Here is a 23121-nt window from a genome sequence, read left to right on the forward strand (position 1 = left end):
AAAACAATCTATAGAGAAAACCTAGAAGACTTAATCATGATTACAGAAATACAATGTACCAACACAACATTACCACTCCTGACTGCTGACGGAGCTGGGGGTAGAGCCAGGAAGAAAGTTAAGGAGAAAAAGAGAAGATCAGGACATCCATTTCTAATTTCACAAGGGCAGGGAGGGATTAAAAGTCACTGTCATTGGTTGATGTAACTAAATTAAAGGTCTATGTCAGTAATATAAAGACTGAAGAATAATCAATTCAAGAACCATAAGGCCAGGCGCAGTGGCTCACGCCTGTAATCCCAGCACTTTGGGAGGCTTGGAGGAGAGTGGATCATGAGGTCAGGAGTTCAAGACCAGCCTGGCCAAGATGGTGAAACCTAGTCTCTACTAAAAATACAAAAAAAATTAGCCAGGCACAGTGGCAGGTGCCTGTAATCCCAGCCACTTGGGAGGCTGAGGCAAGAGAATCGCTTGAACCTGGGAGGCAGAGGTTGCAGTGAGCCAAGATCATGCCACTGCACTCCAGCCTGGGCAACAGAGTGAGACTCCATCTCAAAACAAAAACAAAAACAAGAATAAAAGAAAAAAGAAAAAGAACCACGGCTGGACGTGGTGGCTCACACCTGTAATCCCAGCTACTTGGGAGGTTGAGACAGGAGAACTGCTTGAACCTGGGAGGTGGAGAGATTGCACCAAGCCGCGATCATGCCATTGCACTCCAGCCTGGGGAACAGAGCGAGGCTCTGTCTCAAAAAAGAAAAAAAGAAAAGAAAAAGAAAGAAAGAAAAAGAACCATTAAAAAAAATGCCATGGCTCACACCTGTAATCCAGAACTTTGGGAGGCTGAGGCAGGAGGATCGCTTGAGTCCAGGAGTTCAAGACCAGCCTGAGCACTATAGTAGAACCCCTATCTCTATAGCAAAAAATTAAAAAATTAGCCGGCCATACTGGCATGCACCTGTAGTCCCAGCTACTCCAAAGGCTGAGGCAGGAGGATCGCTTGAGCCTGGGTGCTTGAGGCTGCAGTGAGCCGTGACTGCACTACAGTCTAGGCAGCAGAGCGAGACCCTATCTCAAAGAAAAGAAAAAAAGAACCATAAGTATAATTATCAAAAAATGTGGAGAATGAAGGAAGTAGGTGAGATGCAATTGCCACTCATTATAACAGGAAGCTGAGAATTAAATCATATATTCATACTATTTAGAGATATAAAGATAATCACTAGAAGCACTAAAAACAAAAATGAACAAATGTAATTGTTTCCAGAGAATATCAGGCTGGATGGGAATAAAACAGGACCGGGGCAGAAGACTGTTACAATACTTTTCAAGAGAAGCGCATCTGTTCTGAGTCTCTTAATGCTATATGGAATTTTTACTCTGCACTACTTTTTTTTTTTTTTTTTTTTTTTTTTTGAGACGGAGGCTCACTCTGTCACCCAGGCTGGAGTGCAGTGGCGTGATCTCGGCTCACTGCAACCTCCACCTCCCAGGTTCAAGCAATTCTCCTGCCTCAGCCTCCTGAGTAGCTGGGATTACAGGTGTGCGCCACCACACCCAGCTAATTTTTGTATTTTTAGTAGAGACAGCACCCAGCCTGCACATTATTTTTACAATCAAATCGAACTTTGCATTACTTGAGTCGAAGTATCTGCATGAAATAAAAATATAATTTATGTCAGAAAAAATATTAAACTAGATCATTACTACTGAGTAAAATTGTGAATTAAGTGTGATTTAAGCAAAACCAACTCAAGTTTGATAGACAAAAACTGCGTCCCTACTACAAAGGTAGCTGAGAGATGTAGGCTGGATCCTTAACAAGAAACCTCCGCCAGGCGCGGTGGCTCACACCTGTAATCCCAGCACTTTGGGAGGCCGGGGCAGGCAGATCACCTGAGGTCAGGAGTTCGAGACCAGCCTGGTCAACATGGTGAAACCCTGCCTCTCCTAAAAATACAGAAATTAGCCAGGCATGGTGGTAGGCGCCTGTACAGCTACTAGGGAGGCTGAGGCACAAGAATTGCTTGAACCTGGGAGATGGAGGTTGCAGTGAGCCGAGATTGTGCCACTGCACTCCAGCCTGGGTGACAAGAGTAAGACTCTATCTCCAAAAAGAAAAAAAGAGAGAGAATAAGAAACCTGTTGAAAGTCCCTACCACACCACATGTAGGGCAGACAGTAAGAATCATCATAAAAAGGTCAAAACTCTGCCATGGCAAGAATGAGCATCCAAATACCTTAATAACTCTGGAATCCAAAGAAAATTTCAGGTGAAAGGAAGTGCACGTGGCACCGCCTTCATCTCTCCACCAACAAGCACAGCCGACCCCAGTTAGAACACACTTTGAAACCAAAAGGCAGATGCTGCTAACCACTAGAACAAAGCAGAATCTGCCATCAGAACAGTACTAGATAGAGTTATTTAAAACATACTCAGAGTTACAGCTGGGACACTTGGGACACAGGATTCTGAGAGACCAAAGTGGGTCATTTTTGAGCATGTCAGGTGGTAGAATTAATAATGACACCAGGCAACAGGCATGAGGAGGAGTGTCCTGGGGTACCCCACGGAGCTTGGGGCCTTAGCAGTGTGGAGATGCACCCTGTGGTTATCAGTACCCAGGTAGCCCATATTATGCTAAAGAACTTGCCCTCCAAATTATCACTTTCCAAAGATATCCTGTGTCCTGTGAGGAGATGGAGATGCACATTCTGCAAGAAGGAAAGAACTTACACTTTACTCCAGTTGGTTGGGTGAGGGTCCTGTTAAGTTTCAAACAAAACAAAACCCACAGAAGGTCATGGCAAGAATAAACCCCGTGGTTCTGAGCCTCTGAAAACACTGCCCAAAGAGTGAGTGGGAACGAGCTCATGAGACCCTCCTGGACTTTCCTGCAAGAAATTATCATTTGCCTGGAATGCGGCCACCCAGCCCAGGTGATGGCCAAAAGAGGGTTGGGTTGATAGAGATCTTGCCCCAGGATCTGAAGAAGCCCTGGAAGGTGAGGCCTGGGGCTGCAATCTTTCCCAACAGACAATGGAGGCCTCCAACAAGGCTCAGAGGAGAGGTTTTGCAGGTCAGACCCTCACCCCTACCTCAAGGCCCCTCAACAAGCAGACGTCACTATTGTCCCGATCCCACCTTCCCTCCTGAGCAAGCAATGGGTAGCAAATCCTGTTCACCCCATTTCCATGGTCCTGACATCTCCCCTTCCCCTAGCGAAGAGGATTCCAAGACCCACTCCTCATCGTGACCTCCCCCTGCCCCCAGATGACGCGGTGGCTTTCTGGGGCTCATTATTACCCCTGCAGAGTGGGCAGAGGAAACCAAGAGCAGGAACTAGGATTGATGGATTGACCTATGTTTACAAGGTTAGCAGCTCTCAGGCAAGGTGGGAGGGACAGTGGAAGGGAGGCAGGAGAACGCTCCTTTGGAAACAGGCTTTGCAAAGCCAGGATTTTTTGGCAGGATATCCTGTCTTCCTCATGGTCACAGAGAAGCGTGTTTTGGGTCTTTAAGGAAAAGCAACTGAATCCTCATAGCCCAATCTCCAATCAGTTTCTCCACCCATTCCAAGCTTGGACACTCAGCCCCACTGCCTCCCAATTATATCTTTTTCCCAGCACAACTGCATTAGAGTCCTTTGCTCTTTAATAAAATCATACTCTAGCGGGGCAGAAGCTGGAATAAATAATACAGGTGTTATTTTCTTAAAACCAAAGACACTTCCCCCTCCCTTTCATCTTTCTTTCATGAATTCAAAGTGGTCCCAAACAGAAAACATCCATATTATACTTCAGTTTTGCTAGGTTCCAAAAGGCTAGGATGCCCCCACTCCAACTACACCCAAGTCTTCCTTTAAGGAAAGAAATACTTGGTGACAGGACCAAGCCTCAAAGGGCCCTGGGCCCATTCTGAAACTGAGATTGTGCTCAGCTGAAAGAAACTTCCTCCCACAGAGTTCTTCGATGAATCATCACTCTTTGTTTAACATCCTCTGAAAGCAGACAATTGATCGGCTCTCAGATCATGCCTGCGTAGTACCCCCACCCCCTCCACCTCTGCAATCCTTTCAGTGAGCTGAGACCCCACTCCAGGGCTCCGTGGTAGGATGCAGTCTCCCAGCTCTGCCTCAGCCCAGAGGGAGAAGAACCTCTTCACCTAGTGAAAGAGCTTCAAGGTCTTCTAGAAGAATCTCACACACGCACTGGAGGAATCTCTGCGGCTTCCCATGCCCACAGTCTAGGCCCTTATGAATTTCTTAATGAGGTCCCTGGAGACCACAGGAACAGGGAAGGTCTTATGCTGGAGGGTGTGGAGGACGGTGCCAGAGGCTGGGAAGGGAATGGAAGGGGAAAACTCCACCTAACTATTAATATCGTGTACCCTTTTACACTAGAACATTGTTTTATTTTAAAAAACACTCTGTTCCTTGCTGAGTACTGCTTTATTTCTGAATGTCTCTTTTATTATTTTTTTAATAAATGATTTGGCCTACAATGATGATGAGAGAGAATTTGTTCTTTTTTTTTTTTTTTACACAGGAGTTATAGCTTATATAAAATGGAGTACTTAGAGATGAAAAGACCTGAAGTTTGGAATTGGGAAAAACAGAAACGTTTACTAGAGCCCTGCTAATCTGATTTTTCTGGTCCAGAATTGAGGGAAAAACAAAAGGAGAGTTACCCTTAGAAACATACCTTCTACCTGTTTGCTTAATTTAGAAAGAAAATGTACATGTAAATATACATGTGTGTATATAACATACACACACACATCCCCAGTGAAAGTGTGTTTTTGATACAGAAGACCAAATGACTGGAGATCGTAAAACGAGGCTCTTTCTTAACCACGAGCCTGAGTCCGTGGTGTTCAGCACTTTCATGAGAATCTGTAACCTGGCCCAGAGGAACAGAATTTTCTTCCTGGCTTCTCACTCCCACTCCTCTGCCCTCCTCAAGCAGACAGAAGCCCCCTCTCCCGGCACAGATTTCTAGGCAAGGCTTTGATGTGGTTCCCATGCTCTCACCTGCCTTCCTCATTTGGAAAAACCAGAGGCTTCTACTGCACATCTATGAAAGTGTTGTCTCACAAAACGTGTTTCTCCTTTAGACAGTATGATCCTTGCAGAAATCGCAGAAGTGTTAATACATGCACCTAGTAGGCCCTCAGCAAACTCTCCCAAGGAATTCCTGCTCAGGGCTCCAGGGTTTCAGTCGGCACACTAGAACTGCAGGAATCTGGGGGGAAGGAGACAGGCCCAACGCTGCTTTTCCTTTCTGGTTTAGAGGGGGAGGGGAGAAGAGAGGAGCAAGGAGAAAGAACTGCAAAGGGAAAGGAGAGGAAGTCTTTGTCCGGGCTCTTTGGACGAGCATTAGAGTGGAGTTAAATTGTCAGCTAATGAGATTTCCTAACCACGTGCTCCCTTTTAAGTCTAGGCCCCCAACTGATTTGATCCCCACACAACAGCAGGGGGGAAAGAGGCCTTCAGCATCCCTAAGGGCGCGAGAATTCCCAGAACAAGTACAAGAAGGATGAGAATCATTTCTGAGAGTTCAACTTTAAATAGGTTATCATATTTATTAATTGACATCTAGCAACAATGCTACTGGCCGCGTTCCACATCAACAGCCGAATAGGGGTTCACGGGAGTCAGATTCCACTCGGGGTAACTGAGGCAGGCCCAGGGGAACGGAAGAGACAGAGCGCAATCCTGAGGGCTTCTCCAACCACTGGACAGCCTACAAGTCGAGTTTATGTTTGTTTGTTTGCCTGTTTTGGCTGGCAAAGGCCCCTGGGGCCTACATTCAAAGAATGTGTTGTTGGACCCAATAATTTATTCCAACAGGCAAAAGGGTGTTAAAACAGGAAGTTTTTTTTTTTCAATAAAATCTTTGTCGTTAAGCCTGAGATCATCTGATCTGATTATGGACTGTTATTATTTTGTGTTGTTTATTTCTATATGAAACTGATTTCTCTTTTTGCCTAAAGAAAAGTAGCAGTGCAGAGCTAGTGGAGGAAAAACAACTCAAAACACATTCACAACATTTTGAAGATATTCAATGAAATTGATTCTCTTCTACCTTCCCTGCTTAGTCAACAGCCTCTTCCTTAAGTTTTATTTCTCCTCTATTCAAAGATAATTACTTAGCAACGTCGGTGTTTACCACGCAAAGGCATCCACCCTCCCTAGCCCAGCTTTTTACCTTGAGATACAAAAAAGCATATGCTGGAAACCAACAATTTACCAAACTTCTTCAGCTACAAGGCATAGCTTAAATTTCATCTCTCCTAGAAAGTGTTCCCTCCTAACCTCCAGACATCTCTTTGTTCAAACCTCCCTCCTTCCTGGACTTAATCACTTTCCACAGCAGTCCTTGGTTCACTGGCAACTGCTTTCCACCTGGAAGGGTTTTTCCTTCTCCAAACCCAGGTCTGGGTCCCAGCAGAATCTTGAAGAAGAAAGAAGAAACAACTAAAACCTAATGGAAATTCAAACACATTTTTAAAAGGGCTGCAAGCGATTAGATAAATCTAATTAAACCTAAGGCCAAGTAAAACAAGTCCTGTTTGAAGCTGAGAACAGCAGTCCTTCATGCCTTTTATAATAAAAAGAAATTGGGGCTGGGGGAGTGAAGAACGCAGAAAAGGAAAGCGACAAGGGGCCATCCTCTATTACAGATTTCCTCTAACACAGAATCAACAGGACTCTAATATTTCATACGTGGCTGTCACTGTGCTTTGAGGTTAATCTATATGGTCGTTTAAGCCCCGCCCCCCTAGAGGTTATTCCTTATCCCCACTTTACAGATGCGCAAACTGAGACACAGGAAGATAGAATAGCTCGGCCGGGATCACCCAGCTTGTGAGTGACACCGAGCAGGTACTGGAACCCGGGTTTGTTTGACCTCAGCGCACAGGCTCTAAACCTCTGCTCCAACTCAAAGTATGCGCCAAGTCAGCGTGCATGGGTAACCCGATCCGGACGGCTCTGACTCGGGATGCGGCACAGCTGCCCTGCGGGGCCGCGCGGGTGTCACCGAGGCGGGCACAGACTGCACAGTGTCCCCAAGGGCTCGCGCACGTCCTTCAAGACCTGCCAGCGCGCGGGAAAAGGCAGGCTCCGAGTCAACCAGGGCTGACCCGGGGGCAAGACCAGGAGACGCGACGACTGGAACCGGGTGAGTGTGGCCGAGTCGGCGCCCCGAGGGCCGCCAGCCTGGACCCCAGGCTGGGACACGGGCGCCCCCGGGTGCAGGGGACCTAGAGGCGCCGTGCGCGGCGGGGGCTGGGCGCGAAGGCGCCGAGACGGCATCTTTCCCCTGCAGCATCCCGCCCCGCGGCCGGGGGGAGGGGGCGTCACCTGACAGCGCGCAACAACTTCTCCAGGTTTCGAGGGGGCAAGCGGCAGCCGCCGGGGCTGGGGGGCGCACGGCGCGCTGCTCTCGCCCAATGGCGAGGTCTGTAAACAAAAGCGGGCCCCACGCGGGTCCCCAGCCGGGTGGCGAGGGGCGCGGCGCAGCAGCATCGCAGCGGCAGAGCTGGTGAGAGGGCGAGGCGGGGACGGGATAGGGCGCGGGGACCCAGGGCACAGTCCCCGGGACCCGACCGCCCGGATGAGGCATTGTCTGCGCACCCGCAGGATTCCGCTTTTAATGCCCCCCTCCGGGGGTTCGTCGCGGGTCCCCAGCTCCGTGCGCCGGCCCCCGGGCTTTCCGCCCGGTGAGCCCGGCCCCGAGGGCGGCACGGATCGCCAAGGTGAGCGCCCAGGACGCGTCGCCGAAAAGCCAGGCCCGGAGGTGCCTAAGTCAGGGACCGAGACGCAAACATAGACACAAGGATGCACAAGCACGCCCTCCCCGAAGTTGACAAAAATCAGCCGATAAAATACAAAGTGCCGCGGCCGCCGCAGGTCAGCGCTGACCTCCTGCTGCCGAGAGGACCGAATGCCGACGTCCGGACGCTGTCATTTCCATCCAGCGAAGGCACCTGGGCTGCACGGTCTCGTCTCCCTCCTTCGCGCGAGGGATGCCTCCTCCTGCCTCTCCTCCCCGCATCTCCCCACCTCCCAAGTGTGTGAACACGAAAACAATACGTGGAAAGCCCGATCGGGGGGAGCTAGGACCCGCCGGGAGCCCCAGTGTGCGGGAGACGGGGGTCAGAACGTGCCCGGCACGGGCACCGAGGCTCCGGGCATCCTCGCCGCCGTCTCCCGGGGCGGCTCCGGCCGGACGCCCGCGCACCCCAGGCCCGCGGTACTCACCCGCGACGGTCGTCCGGGATCTCCGCGACGGGGCCGGGCACGATGCGGGGCAGCCGTGCCCCTGGGGCTGCGGGCGCCAAGGCGTCCGCGGAGCTGCAGAGCTGCGCGCCCGACGGCGGCGGCGCTGCTCTGCCGGCCGCGCTCGAACCCGCTCGTGGTCTGCCAATCGGAGCTGTCAGGGCCCCTCCGCCTGCGGCCTCGGGGGCCGGGCCGCGGGAGCCCGTGGGAAACCGAGCTCCGATTGGGCCGCCTGACAATCGCTCCGCCTCCGGCCAGCCAATCCGAGGCGGTGGATGCAGGAGCGGGGCGTTCGGAGTTGGGCTGTAGAGCGACTATGGGCGCACGCCGGGTATCCGCGCCGCAGCCAGGCTCGGAGCGCGCGGCTGGAGGGGCGCGGGCGGCGCGCGCTCCAGAGATGCCTTCCTGCGAGGCTCCGTCAGCGCGGCCCGGGGAGATCGCCCGCAGGCAGCGGAGGCGCGGCGGGCCGGGGGACGACCAGGGAGCCCCTAACAAAGCAGCTTTGGGAGGGCCGGAGGCCTCTGCCTCCCTCGGCGATAGGTCCGCGAAGCTGCCTGTCATCTCGCATAGGTGGAGGTGGCCAATGGCGTGCACAGACGGAGCTCTAGTTGGCGCGCGCGCGCGGCTCGGCATCGGTGGGATTGGTCGGAGGTAAAGGATTTTCCTGCCACCTAAGGCGGAGAGGAAGGGGGATCGAAACGGGGGAGGCGAAGAGTCAAAAAATGTTGTGCCTGGGACAAGTGGTCTGGCGCGGGAGGCGTGTGCCTGGCTCTAGGGGGAGACAGGAACTTTTTTACGAGAGAAAAAAATCCTAACGCAATCCCTTCCCGTGGATGCTAGAGGATGTTAGACCCTGAGCAGCCTCCAGGTAGGGCATGGTGGCCTTCACCAGAGTCCAGGACTCCCAGGGTTCACTTACCGTGCCCAGCAAGCGAACTTGGAATAACAGCGTGGGGTTTGGGCCTTACGCTTACCTGCTGGGCAGAGTAAGTGACTCGGGCAGGGTTCACGCAGACCTCCTGGGCTCCTCTGTAAAATCCGGAAACTACAGTTGCAGTTTACCTCTCGCAAGGTTGTGGAGAACGCGGAAACGGAGACGCTGGCGGTACAGCCTCGAGCGAAACCTTTCCCTACACGAGGCCGGAGCTTCCTCCTCTCCTGAAGAGCTCTAGACTTCCCCATTTACAACAAAGGCTGGGATGTATGTTCCTTACACCTTGATTCCATACACACGTGTTCGCCCCGGGAGCTGGGAAGGTCTGCGCTCCCGGGGTGATCTTGTTGAAAACAAAAAGAATTGCCCACGCTGTGGAAGATAAACCTAAACCGGAAAATTGAAAGTCATCCCTGATTCCTCCTTCTTCTTAACCCTCTCCCATCCATTTTTGTTAACCTCCCAAACCCATTCCTCCCATCCTGTCTCACCTGGACCTCAGTAAAGGGCTCCCATCGTCCTTCTGTCCCAGGCCTTGCCCCCTGAAATCTGTTCTCCACTTTGCAGAATGATCCTTCTAAGCAGAAAAATCTCATTTTGCGCTCCCAACTCTGGGTCTCTTTTCTTTCCCCAGAACACGTCAACCCCCAGCCCCTCCCTTCACTTCACTAATTCCTACCCTTCTTCAGATCCCAGCTTGGCCGCCAAGGCATCCATGCAGTAGGCATTGCTGAACTACTGCTCTTACAGACCCCGGGAAGCCTCCTGTACCCTGTCAAGGTTAGATGCCACATTTCCACTTCCAGTGCTTCCACCCCCTGTGCTCCCCTCACAGGCCTGTATGACACGGGGCTGAAGTTGCCTGTTGCACTGCAGCCTTCCATGGAAGCCGGAATCTTATCTATCTTCCCTGCTGGATCCCAGTCCTAGCACAGTGTTTGGCACATTTGGGGCACTGAAAAAACATGGAATCCATGAATTATAGAGGAGCTATAATTATAGGCAAGAGCTTTAAGGATTTGAAGTGCTTCTAAAACATCAGTTTGAGAAGAATGGGTAGCATGGTAGCTCTTGAACGGATGCGTCCACCAGGTTCCATGATCAGTATTACAGGGAGGTTTTTGAGTCAAGTTTGAGAGATTTTCCAAAGACACCCCTTCCAAAACCAGCCTCGTTTCAGCCAACAGCTTGGAATGGAGAATAATTCCCTTGAGAAGCTTTTCATCCCAGGACAAAGAGCCATTTCTTTACCTGTTACAAGCCACCATCTAGGGGAAATACATATATTTGAAAATGAGTAGAGGGTTTTTCCCTAAGGAAGTTTAGAAGTACATCTGGCCATCCTTAAAAGAACAGACCCTGGAGTGAGGCTGCCTAATTTCAGGCCCGGTTCCTTTCTAGCTGTTACCTAGGGCAAGTTACTTCAGGCCTCCGTGCCTCGGTTTCCCCATTTATATAAATGAGATAACAATAGTGCTTCATACCACATACAGTTGGTACGAGGATGAATGAGTTAATATTAACAATGTGCTGGCCAGGCGCGGTGGCTCACTCCTGTAATCCTAGCACTTTGGGAGGCCAAGATGGGCAGATTGCCTGAGCTCAGGAGTTTGAGACCAGCCTGGGCAACACGGTGAAACCCCGTCTCTACTAAAAATACAAAAAATTAGCCGGGCATGGCGGTGTACTCCTGTGGTCCCAGCTACTCAGGAGGCTGAGGGCAGGAGAATTGCTTGAACCCAGAAGGCAGTGGTTGCAGTAAGCCGAGATTGCGCCACTGCACTCCAGCCTGGGCAACAGAACGAGACTCCGTCTCCAAAAAAAAAATAAATAAAAAACAACAATTTAAAAAAAAAATGTGTTTAGAAGAGTACCTGGCACATAGTAGCATTTAATAATGTTTACTGAATAAATAAACAGCTTCCACTGGACATGTGTGTGATGGGTAGGGAGTCCTCATGAGTGAGTGGCGGGTTACTAGAGGCTTCCCTGAAGGTGAGTAATGGGATCTCTCTTCCCTGCCTCATCTGAGGGCTGCTGCCTTAGGGTCTCCTGTTAAGGAGGTGACATTATTGTAAGGAGAACCTCAGATGAATCATCACAGCAGCCATCTGATTGCCTTGTGCCTAAGACGTCTGAAAAGCACTTTGAGATGCAGAATCCTGGCGGTAGGTTGGCTGGGTTGAATCTCAGCTCTACCACCTACCAGCTCTGTAGCCTTGAGAAGGTTACTTAATCTTTCTTAAGCCTCAGTTTATTGATCTCTGAAATAAGGGTAGTAACACCTAACCCGTAAGGATACGGAGACAGTTAAAAAGAGGTCACGCGTAGCATATGGTACAAACTCATCAAAGTTGGTGATCGGGTTCAGCTAAGTTAGTGAAAAACAGGATAATAACATTCCATTAAATGGTTGAAAAACCTGGATGAGGCCGGGTGTGGTGGCTCACCCCTGTAATCTCAGCACTTTTTGAGGCCAAGGCATGTGGATCACTTGAGGCCAGGAGTTAGAGATAAGCCTGGCCAACATGGTGAAATCCCTTCTCTACTAAAAATACAAAAATTAGCCAGGCGTGATGGTGCATACCTGTAATCCCAGCTACTCGGGAGGCTGGAGGCAGCAGATGCAGTGAGCCGAGATCCAGCCACGGCACTCCAACCTGGGCAACAGAGTGAGACTGTCTCAAAAAAAAAAAAAAGAAAGAAAGAAAAACCTGGATGAGACAATGCAGGAGAAATACTCACTGCCCATAGGGGAGATAGATACATAGGGAACCACTGTTTGGGCCCTTTCTCTCATTCACTTTCTCCCTGAACCCCACTTACTTCAACATGTCAGTACTTTGGCTCTCAGAATCTGCTCACAGCTGACTGTGGGAGGCTTTGTTCCCACAATCATGGTGCTGGGTTCTGCCACTGAAGTTGACAGAATTAAGCCAATCCAGCCTTTGGGTACCTTTATTTTTATTGTATTTATTTATTTATTTATTTATTTTTTGAGACGGAGTCTTACCCTGTCGCCCAGGCTGGAGTGCAATGGCACAATCTCAGCTCACCACAACCTCCACCTCCCGAGTTCAAGCAATTCTCCTGCCTCAGCCTCCCGAGTAGCTGGTATTACAGGCGCGTGCCACCAGGCCTGGCTAATTTTTTGTATCTTTAGTAGAGACGGGGTTTCACCATGTTGGCCAGGCTGGTCTCGAACTCCTGACCTTGTGATCTGCCCACCTTGGCCTCCCAGAGTGCTGGGATTACAGGTGTGAGCCACCGCACCTGGCCTGGGTATCTTTCTTGACCTCGCAAACCTAAAAAGCTACTGCAGGCTTCAGTGCTGTTTCTTGTCTCCGCCCTACACGGTACATCGCTACTTCACACTGGCAAAGAGAATGGGGCATTTTGATTAAAATACAGACAAATGCCATCTGGCCGAGTATTCTGACATCTTATCTCCTGAGGGCACTGTTGACATCTAAAGAGAACATGGAATTGGCATTAAAGGAAAAAATGGGGTGGTCAAAGGCAGAATCAAGGTTTAGGGCAGGAGAATGAGCACAAGTTACATTTCTAGTACATGACCCTAGCTGCAACTAAGAGTCAACATTTTCTTCCCCACTGGTTATTGAAAGGCTGACTAAACAATCGTAGCTGAGTTACAACAAATGGTCTTCCCCAGTACGAAGATACCTACACATGCGCTCTGGGCAGCCCTGCCTCACTTGTGTTCCTGAGCTGGTCTTTCTCTCTAACAGATGCTCCCTCAGGGTTAGACTTTGGCCTGTTTAATTCACTGCTCTATTCATAAAGTGTCTCGAACAGTGCCAAGCACATAGTATGTGCTCAATAAATATCTATTGGATGAATGAAGTTTAGCCTTCCGCACTCTACGAGGAGTTTGGCACTGAATTATTTTCTTTTCTGTCATCTATTTGTGGATGCCCTCTTTAAAGAAAGGACAGGAGGCAGCTTATACAAAAATAGATCTTGGGCTAGGCGTGGTGGCTCACACCTGTAATCCCAGCACTTTGGGAGGCCGAGGCAGATGGATCACCTGAGGTCAGGAGTTCGAGACCAGCCTGGCCAACAAGGCAAAACTCCATCTCTACTAAAAATACAAAAGTCAGCCAGGCGTGGTGGCAGGTGCCTGTATTCCCAGCTTCTTGGGGGTCTGAGGCAGGAGAATCACTTGAACCTGGGAGGCGGAGGTTGCAGTGAGCCATGATCACACCACTGCACTCCAGCCTGGCAACAAAGCAAGACTGCATCTCTATATATATATATTTTTTTATATGCATATATATATTTTTATATATGCATATATATTTTTATATATGCATATATATATTTTTATATATATAAATATATATATGCATGCCAGGCATGGTGGCTTATGCCTGTAATCCCAGCACTTTGGGAGGCTGAGGTGGGTGGATCACCTGAGGTCAGGAGTTCAAGACCAGCCTGGCCAACGTGGTGAAACCCCATCTCTCTTAAAAATACAAAAAAAAAGTAGCCAGGCGTGGTGGCGGGTGCCTGTAATCCCAGCTACTCGGAAGGCTAAGGCAGGAGAATCGCTTGAACCCAGGAGGCGGAGCTTGCAGTGAGCCGAGAGAGCGCCACTGCACTCCAGTCTGGGCAATGGAGTAACATAACACTGTCTCAAAAAAAAAAAAAAAAAAAAATACACAGGCAGCCAAATTAACCTTCCTTCGGAGGGTCTTGTGATGCCTGGCAACGTCTTTTCCCTGGGTAAAGAACCTTGTCGCGAGTTCCTCAGATTGTTGATGTGCTGATTAATGCATACCCCACTGACACTGAAAAGTATGCTGACTTCTTTCTGAGTCATAAACTTTCACTGACTGTCTTTCAGGGGTACATTTTAGCCGGTATGTTGCAGTCTGTAGCCAGTTCTTACAACCTCTGTATTGCACCCTCTAATGAAAAAGGACAACCCCAGTATAAGGAGTCTCCCTCCCTTCTCCCAAACACCTTGTAACAGACTCCAGAACACTCCCAACTTTGTTGATGTGACTTCCCCCATCATCAGTCTTCACATTTGGCTTCCAAGAAGCCTTTATCAAATTATTTCAGTCTTAATTTTGGTTGACATTTTATATATATATATATACGTACGTGTATGTCTTCTGTTGGTTCTGTTTTTTTTTTTTTTTTTTTGGAGAACCCTAATGCACATCCCAATAGTTTTTCCCATAACCATTCAATATTCCTCTGCAGACTTGCTACCCAAAGTGTAGTCTGCGGATCAGCAGCAGTGGCATCGCCTGGTGTCAGAAACACAATCCCAGACACCAAGCCAGACACTTAACTCAAATCTACGTCTTAACACTCAGGTGATATATCTGTGTATAAAGTTTGAGAAGTACCTCATAACTTCTTTGGGGTTTATTTATTTATTTATTTATATTGAAACAGGGTCTTGCTCTGCCACCCAGGCTAGAGTACAATGGTGGAACTCGACTCACTGCAACTTCTGCCTCCCGGATTCAAGCGGTTCTCCTGCCTCAGCCTCTCAAGTAGCTGGGATTCCAGGCGCATGCCACCATGCCCAGCTAATTTTTTGTACTTTTAGTAGAGACGAGGTTTCACCATGTGGCCCAGGCTGGTCTTGAACTCCTGAGCTCAGCTGATCCGCCCGCCTCAGCCTCCCAAAGTGCTAGGATTACTGGTGTGAGCCACCGTGCCCAGACACTTTGGGGTTTTTTGTTTGTTTGTTTTTGTTTTTGAGACAAGGTCTCACTCTGTTGCCCAGGCTGGAGTACAGTGGCGTGATCTCAGCTCACTGCAACCTCCACCTCCTGGGTTCAAGCGATTCTCCTGCCTCAGCCTCCCAAGTAGCAGCGACTACAGGCACGCGCCATCATGCCCGGATAATTTTTTTGTATTTTTTTTGGTAGGGATAGCGTTTCACTGTGTTGGCCAGGCTGGTCTCAAACTCGTGGCCTCAAGTGATCTGCCCACCTCGGCCCCCCAAAGTGCTGGGATTACAGGCATTAGCCACCGCACCAGGCCACGTCATCACTTCTTTGAAAATGCAAAACCACCTGGGAAGAATAACAATATTAAAAACAACTGCTTGGTAAAGGAATTTGTTTAATCAAGGCTTTCTTACCTGAGGACAGATTTTTGGGAGTCGGGTGAAAGGACCTAGAAAAGAAATCAAGAAGTCAGGATATTTTCCCAGCAATGATAGGTCTTCAATTATAAAGAAGAGAGCAAGGAAGCCTCAATATGCAAACTAGCATATCCAACTAATACAGATAAACTCAAGGTCAGAGAGGCAGGACTGGGCAAATCAGGCCACACTACATTCACAGAGCTAAGCAGTGCCCCCTCTTTGTAATTTGCTTTATTGCATTTTATTTTCTGTGTTTTCACTGAAATGGCAGTTTATGGAGAAACTCTCCCACTTGGCTGTGAACAGGCTCTAAGCAACAGCAACACTTCTGCAGAATTGGCAGGGACAGTGCTATGGAATATTTCACAAACTTCAAGGCAAAGGGACAAACAAACAACCAAAAAAAAAAAAAAAAAACACCCTCAAAATGTATTTTCAGAGGAAAGAACTTTCACTGGGAAGGGACCCATGGATCTCCAAAAGAAAACCAATTTGGTTTCATTTTTTTCTGCTTCTGCACTCCAGCCTGATGATTAATTCATCAGCATGGGACAGAACAAAAGCTCCTCTTAAACTGTAACTACTACATGGGGTGGGTTTCTATGATGATGTTGCAGATCTTGGCCTAATGGGCTTTCTCTTCACTGACACACAAGGTTCAATATTCCTGCCCCACCCACCATGAGGTGAGAGTTGAAGCTGCCCCCTTTCCCACCTCCTCCAGCGCCCGGACAAGGCACGATGCAGGGACACGCAGGGCACGTGCCTGCAACTCCACCTGCCTCAAACCATGTGTTTACTCTCTATCCTGTAGAAGTGTCATCGCTCCCCCAGCCTAACAGAATGACATGGAAAAGGCTGGAATGTAGCCACACTGCCTCAGCAAAACAATCCCTAGGCTTAGAGACGCTGCTGTCCACAGGCAAGCAAACTGGGACAGTGGAGCCACAGAAATGTGCCTCTCTTCTTGGGGGTAGGGTGACAGCTTCAGTTTCTATCTATATGGAGTTATTGCCCTTTCTCTGTCTCTCTCTCTCTCTCCCCCACCTCTCTCCTTCTCTCCCTCTCCCTAAAGAGGCAGTAGTTAAAGGCAAAGAGCCTGGTGATTAAAAAGCAGACTCTGCCCTAAATCAGACCTTTCTTCTGTCCCTTACCAGCTGTGTGACCTTGGCAAGTTAGTTAACATCTCTGTGCTTCATTGCCCTCATCTGTAAAATGAGGCTTATAGGCCGGGCACGGTGGCTCACGCCTGTAATCCCAGTACTTTGGGAGGCCGAGGCGGGCAGATCACAAGGTCAGGAGATCGAGACCATCCTGGCTACCATGGTGAAACCCCATCTCTACTAAAAATACATAAAAAAAAAAAATTAGCTGGGCGTGGTGGTGGGCTCCTGTAGTCCCAGCTACTCGGGAGGTTGAGGCAGGAGAATGGCGTGAACCCAGGAGGCAGCGCTTGCAGTGAGCCAGGATCACGCTCACTGCACTCCAGCCTGGGAGACAGAGCGAGACTCCGTTTCAAAAAAAAAAAAATGAGGCTTATAATAGTAGTGTACTTCTGATAGGGATGTTATAGGGATGGAATGAGTTGATGCAGTAAAGAACTTAGTACCTGGCCTGTGTTAGAGACACTATGGATCCCTGGCTCATCTACAAAAAGCCAGACTCACTATCCAAAGGCATAGTAAGGCCAGGTGTAGTGGCCTCCCAAATCCTAGCACTTTGGGAGGCCAAGGTGGGCAGGTCACTTGAGGTCAGGAGCTTGAGACCAGCCTGACCAACATAGTGAAACCTCATCTCTACAAAAAATACAAAAATTAGCAGGGCATGGTGATGGACACTTGTGGTCCTGGCTACTCAGGAGGCTGAGGCAGGAGAATCGCTTGAACCTGGGAGGCAGAGGTTGCAGTGAGCCGAGATTGCACCACTGCACTCCAGCCTGGGCGACAGAGTAAGACTCAGTCTCAAAAAAATAAAATAAATGCGTACTAGGTTCCTCTCTCTAGAGCCCCCAAAAGTCTCCTGAAATCAACCTGTCCATAATCTCATCATATTCACCCCACCCCATTCCCCAAACAAGAATAAACAAATCCCACTGATCTCTTCTTCCATTTTTCAGACAGGCAGTTCTTAGCCTTACCATCTAATGGAGGTACTGCCCAGGCTGGAAGAATGGGAGGCAGCTTTGACTTAACCTCCCCCTTTACCTTTCATCTGATAAATGCTGAAGCAGTTTCTGGATCTCTCTTCAGAATGACTCTGGACCCCATTTCTCCACAGGCCTCTGCTGCTCCCTGAGCCTCCTTTATTTTAGATTTTAGATTTAGGACAGGGTCTCGCTCTGTCACCCAGGCTGGAGTGTGGTGGCACGATCACGGCTCACTGCAGCCTTAACTTCCCAGGTTCAAGTGATCCTCCCGCCTCAACCTCCTGAGTAGCTGGGACTACAGGCAGGAGCTACCAAGCCTGGCCAATTTTTTAATTTTTTTGTAGAAAGGGAGGTCACATTAGGCTCCCCAGGCTGGTCTTGAACTCCTGTGCTCAAGCAGTCCTCCCACCTCCATCTCCCAAAGTGCTGGGATGACAGGTGTGACACACCGCGCCCCGAGCCTTCTTTAGAAGGTACAGAATGTGCACTGATTAGAGATGTGTGGTGATTTAACAAACATTTAAAACTGCCTGTTTTGTGCAATGTAACAGACCGGGGCTGAAGGAAAGGAGAAATACAGAGACACACTACAGACACACATAGTGATAGAGGAGGGTCAGCAGGGAAAGCAAGAACCAACATACTGCCAGGCCAGGCAGCTCAGCGCTGTGCAGGGGCTGATGTGGTGAGCACTTGCTTCAGTTTCCCACATCAGCAATGTCCTCCCGATGATGGTGCCCAACAGCAGGGTCCTTAGATAGTAAGGCTAAGAACTGCCTGCCTGGGAAACCAAAGAAGAGATCAGTGGGATTTGTTTGTTCTCGTTTGGGGAATGGGGTGGGGTGGATATGAGATGACGGACAGGTTGATTTCAGGAGATTTTTGGGGGGCTCTAGGAAGAGAATCCTAGTATGCCTTTTAATTTTATTTTTTTTTTAGACTGAATCTCACTCTGTTGAGGTTTGAGTTTACTAATTAAGTACTATATTACTTGCTGCAGGCCACCATAACAGAATACCTTAGACCGCGTGGCTTAAACAGCAGACATTCACTGTCTCCCAGTTCTGGAGACTAGAAGTTCAAGATCAAGGTGCCAGCAGATTTGGTTTCTCCCAAGGCCTCTCTTCTTGCCAGCCAAGAAGAGAGGCCTTCTTGCCTTCTCGCTGTGTCCTCACGTGGCCAGGTGTCTCTCTATGTCCAAACTTCCTCTTCTTATAAGGACACCAGTCAGATTGGATTAGGGCCCACCATCATGGCCTCATTTTCACTGAATCACCTCTTTAAAAGGCTTATCTCTGGCCAGGCGCGGTGGCTCACGCCTGTAATTCCAGCACTTTGGGAGGCTGAGGTGGGCTGATGATGAGGTCAGGAGATCGAGACCATCCTGGTGAAATCCCATCTCTACTAAAAATACAAAAATAGCTGGGTGTGGTGGCACATGCCTGTAGTCCCAGCTACTCGGGAAGCTGAGGCAGGAGAGTCCCTTAAACCAGGGAGGCAGAGGTTGCAGTGAGTTAAGATTGCGCCACTGCACCCCAGCCTGGCGACAGAGCAAGACTCCATCTCAAATAAATAAATAAAAGGCTTATCTCCAAATACAGCCATATTATGAGGAACTGGGGGTTAGGGCTTCAACGGATGAATTTTGAAGGGGCACAATTCAAGCCATAACAAGTACCCAACACCCCACCCGTGTCTTCTATATGCTGTAAAGAATAAGCATGCAGTCTGGGTGTCGCGGCTCACACCTATAATCCCAGCACTTTTGGAGGCCGAGGCGGGTGAATCCCTTGAGCCTAGGGAGTTTGAGACCAGCCTGGGCAATATGGTGAAACCCCGTTTCTACCAAAAATAGAAAAATTAGCCAGATGTGGTGGTGTGCACCTGTGGGCCCAGCTACTTGGGGGGCTGAGGTGGGAGGATTGCTGGAGCCCAGAAGTCGAGGCTGCAGTGAGCTGTGATAGTGCCACTGCACTCCCATGTGGGCAACAGAGTGAGACCCTGTCTCAAAATAAATAAGAGAAAGAATAGGCCGGGCACGGTGGCTCACTCCTGTAATCCGAGCACTTTGGGAGGCCGAGGTGGTCGGATCACCTGAGGTCGGGAGTTGGAGAGCCTGACCAACATAGAGAAACCCCGTCTCTACTAAAAATACAAAATTAGCCGGGTGTGGTGGCGCATGCCTGTAATCCCAGCTACTCAGGAGGCTGAGGGAGGAGAATCGCTTGAACCCGGGAGGCGGAGGTTGCAGTAAGCCAAGATCGCGCCATTGCACTCCAGCCTGGGCAACAAGAGTGAAACTACTCTGTCTAAAAAAAAAAAGAAAGAAGAAGAAGAAGGAGGAGGAGGAAAGAAGAAAAAGAAGAAAGACACCACAGCTGAGTATTTGGAGCTATATAGATACCCCTTCCCTTCGAGTTTCTTCCTGTTTTTTTTAGTTGAGTAACTGCTGAATTGAATTGAATTCTTTGGTTGGTTAGCAAAGGGTCATGGAAAAAGTGTCCTCTCTTCTCAGAGGCGTTTCTTTAAAAAAAAAAAAAAAAAGAATGGGAAAATACATTATTGAGATTTCCAAGGGTTTCATTTAAAAGCCTGTGAGTAAAGGAGAACAATGGTTATGAAGATTCGTATCAAAAAAGAGAAGGGCCCAAGGCAGGGTGCAGGAGCGCAGTGCCTGGAGCCTCAGGGCAGAGACCTCCTCTGCTTGGGAAAGGAGCCCTTTCTGACTGCCCTCCACATATCCCGCATTAATCCATGGCTGTGACTCCACTACCGTCTATAGGTGCCCTTCAATAGCTACATTATTCATTCCTTTCAGCATGTAAGTTAATTTTTCCCCGTCTAAAACAAGTGCTGCTTTTATCCTCTCAAAACTCATGGTATGTAAGAAGCAACATTCCAGGCCCTGTTATTGCAAATGATCAGTCAAGCCTCAGTATTCTAATGTATAAGCTGGTAGCTGAAAAGTGTAGCAAACCACAGCTAGCCAGACATTTTCCCCTGTATTTACTTCTCATTCCTGTGTCATTTCTCTGGCCAGCTGATGGAAATCTAAAAGATGAGTGACTTTTCCTTCCCCTCATTCATTACTCCAAGATAATTCCTGACTGAAAATGCAGAACTTGGACATTATTGTAATTCATTTTTAATAGCCAGCTAGACCGGGTGTGGTGGTTCACGTCTGCAATCCCTGCAGCTGGAGAGGCTGGGGTGGGAGGATCACTTGAGCTCAAGAATTCGACACCAGCCTGGGCAACAGAGCGAAACCCCATCTCTGCAAAAAAATACAAAAATGAACTCAGCATGGTGGTGCATGCCTGTAGTCCTAGCTAATCAGGAGGCTGAGGCAGGAGGATCAGATGAGCCCAGGATTCAAGGCTGCAGTGATCTAGGATTGTACCACTGCATTCCAGCCTGGGTGACAGAATAAGACCCTATCTTTCAAAAAAAAAAAAAAAAAAAAAAAAAGGAGCCAGCTAATACAGGACAAAATAATTATCTCTCTCTCTCTTTTTTTTTTTTTTTTTTTTTTGAGAAGGACTCTGTCTGTGTCACCCAGGCTGGAGTGCAGTGGTGTGATTTCGGCTCAGTGCAACCTGCAACCTCTGCCTCCCGGGTTCAAGCGATTCTCCCACCTCAGCCTCTCGAGTATTGGGATTACAGGCACCTGTCACCACATCCAGCTAATTTTTGTATTTTTAGTAGAGACTGGGTTTCATCATGTTGGTTGGTCAGGCTGGTCTTGAACCCCTGACCTCAGGTGATCCGCCTGCCTCAGCACCCCCAAAGTGCTAGGATTACAGGAATGAGCCACTGCGCCCTGCCCAAAATAATCCTTTCTGTCGAAAAAAAAAAGTGTTTCATGTAATAAACACTGGTTCTAATCCTAAGAGAAAATATATAGAAAACAGAACTCACAGGTGTTTCTTGAAAGTAGGTCACATGGCACCAAGTGGCTGAGCACAGAACACTACACTTATCTTGATTGTCTGATAAATAGTATTTTGAATTTTGTTTCTACTTGACCGATCTACTGTCTTTGCTTCCTATTGCTGCTGTAACTAGTGACTACAGTAGTGGCTGAAAACAACACAAATACACCACCTTAAAGTTCTGGAAGCCACAAGTCCAAAATGAGTGTTCCACGCTAAAATCAGGGAGTCAGCCAGGATGCGTTCTTCTGGAGTTACCTAGCCCCTGTGTTCATCTTCTGGGCAACCAAAAGATTTTGACTAATATTCAATTATTTGAGCATGGCTACTAAGTTAACTCTCCTTTGTTTTTTGTTTTGTTGTTGTTGTTTTGTTTGTTTGTTTGAGATGGAGTCTTGCTCTGTCACCCAGGCTGGAGTGTAATGGCACAATCTCGGCTCACTGCAACCTCCGCCTCCCAGGTTTCAGCGATTCTCCTGCCTCAGCCTCCCGGGAAGCTGAGATTATAGGCATGCGCCACCACGTCCATCTAATTTTTGTATTTTTAGTAGAGACAGGGTTTCACCATGTTGGCCAGGCTGGTCTCAAACTCCTGACCTCAGGTGATCTGCCTGCCTCAGCCTCCCAAAGTGCTATGATTACAGGCATGAGCCACTGCCGGCAACTCTCCATTGTTTTTAATGTCAACAAATCAGACAACCTTTTAGTCAACCAAAAACAATCTCTCAATTACACATACCTAGATATGTAGTGAATATGAATTTGAAAATGAGGAGAAATCCAATGCAATATACCCCATCCAGCACAGCCACTGTGTAACTGGCGCTGGTAAACATTTGTAAAGAAACCAACTTCAGTGACATTTGTGACATTTTAAAGAGTAATTGGATGTTTGTTATGAATCTGAGTCTTTAATATGAACCAACCATAAGAAATGTCAGTTTAAAATCATTACTCTTTTTGCTAGAGAGCACTATATCTGCAAACCCAAGCCATTCAAGTTTCACAAATAGGTGTTTTGATGCATCCCCTGGTGATTTATGTTGAAATATGATTTACTCCAAAGCTTAACAGTGTCAGTTTGATTCAGGCACATGAACCAATCAATGCAATGTGCAAATCCTTCAGTGTTGTTTGTCTCCACTGTGAGGAGGCTCACTGTTCAAGTGGTGTCCCTAACATAGATCAGTGGCTGTGAAAGACATTCTTGGTGGCTTCACTCTTTTTTCCATGCTAATGGAATGTGGATTTTGCTCAGGTGGTAATGTGCCCAATGCAGGCATATCCCCAAGGGATGAATCATGATTGGGCTAAGTCTGTCATGGATATCACATTCCAACTTGATAGATAGTCACATTCCTGGCTTCCCTTGCAGCTACATTGACTGTTAACTAATAATGAACTAGTATCGTTACTAAGACAGGGGACATCTACTGGAATGCTTCTGAAAAATATTATTTTCCCCTACTAAAAAGGAACAAGAAGAGAGTTTGCTGGCATCTCTCTCCTCTTTTCCGTAAGAGTTGTGGCAGCCATCATGAAGTTCTGAAGTGAAAATCCAACTAACCAGGAATAAAGTGAAAAAGAGAGTATGGATATGGGATAACATGGTCGATTACCAGACTATCTCTGGAAATGTTTACTTCCACCCTTTTTACTGAGAGAGAGGAATATATGTACACTATTCTCTA

General features: G+C 48.3%; 1 protein-coding gene and 1 long non-coding RNA gene across 8 annotated transcripts in view, besides 5 other annotated features; one reads left to right on the forward strand and one right to left on the reverse strand.

The window, feature by feature from the left end:
- TIAM1 (TIAM Rac1 associated GEF 1) overlaps positions 1-8428 on the reverse strand; it is a 440670-nt gene extending 432242 nt beyond the window's left edge. For 6 of the 7 annotated variants that reach the window (NM_001353690.1, NM_003253.3, NM_001353688.1 and 3 more), the window contains exon 1: positions 8268-8428. The gene's annotated coding sequence lies outside the window, so the exon portion shown is untranslated. Of the gene's footprint in view, positions 1-7928 lie in introns of all 7 variants that reach the window. The other variant, NM_001353693.1, reaches the window with a different exon arrangement.
- Positions 2763-3482: an enhancer, noted in NCBI's record as "H3K27ac hESC enhancer chr21:32925735-32926454 (GRCh37/hg19 assembly coordinates)". NCBI's record gives its function as "activates a minimal SCP1, AML or CMV promoter by ChIP-STARR-seq in primed H9 embryonic stem cells {active_cell/tissue: H9 hESC(primed)}" and the evidence as "EXISTENCE:reporter gene assay evidence [ECO:0000049][PMID:30033119]".
- Positions 3483-4202: an enhancer, noted in NCBI's record as "OCT4-NANOG-H3K27ac hESC enhancer chr21:32926455-32927174 (GRCh37/hg19 assembly coordinates)". NCBI's record gives its function as "activates a minimal SCP1, AML or CMV promoter by ChIP-STARR-seq in naive H9 embryonic stem cells {active_cell/tissue: H9 hESC(naive)}" and the evidence as "EXISTENCE:reporter gene assay evidence [ECO:0000049][PMID:30033119]".
- Positions 6574-7387: an enhancer, noted in NCBI's record as "H3K27ac-H3K4me1 hESC enhancer chr21:32929546-32930359 (GRCh37/hg19 assembly coordinates)". NCBI's record gives its function as "activates a minimal SCP1, AML or CMV promoter by ChIP-STARR-seq in naive H9 embryonic stem cells {active_cell/tissue: H9 hESC(naive)}" and the evidence as "EXISTENCE:reporter gene assay evidence [ECO:0000049][PMID:30033119]".
- Positions 8201-9013: an enhancer, noted in NCBI's record as "H3K27ac hESC enhancer chr21:32931173-32931985 (GRCh37/hg19 assembly coordinates)". NCBI's record gives its function as "activates a minimal SCP1, AML or CMV promoter by ChIP-STARR-seq in naive H9 embryonic stem cells {active_cell/tissue: H9 hESC(naive)}" and the evidence as "EXISTENCE:reporter gene assay evidence [ECO:0000049][PMID:30033119]".
- Positions 8293-8922: a silencer, noted in NCBI's record as "silent region_13240". NCBI's record gives its function as "represses an Ori minimal core promoter by ATAC-STARR-seq in GM12878 lymphoblastoid cells {active_cell/tissue: GM12878}" and the evidence as "EXISTENCE:reporter gene assay evidence [ECO:0000049][PMID:35858748]".
- Positions 8574-9828, forward strand: TIAM1-AS1 (TIAM1 antisense RNA 1). The gene is made up of 2 exons (NR_171013.1): positions 8574-8936; positions 9358-9828. It is a non-coding gene; the product is annotated as a TIAM1 antisense RNA 1 (long non-coding RNA).
- Positions 9829-23121: the final 13293 nt, after the last annotated feature.

The sequence above is a fragment of the Homo sapiens genome, chromosome 21 (assembly GCF_000001405.40).
Source record: "Homo sapiens chromosome 21, GRCh38.p14 Primary Assembly".
Taxonomy (NCBI): domain Eukaryota; kingdom Metazoa; phylum Chordata; class Mammalia; order Primates; family Hominidae; genus Homo; species Homo sapiens.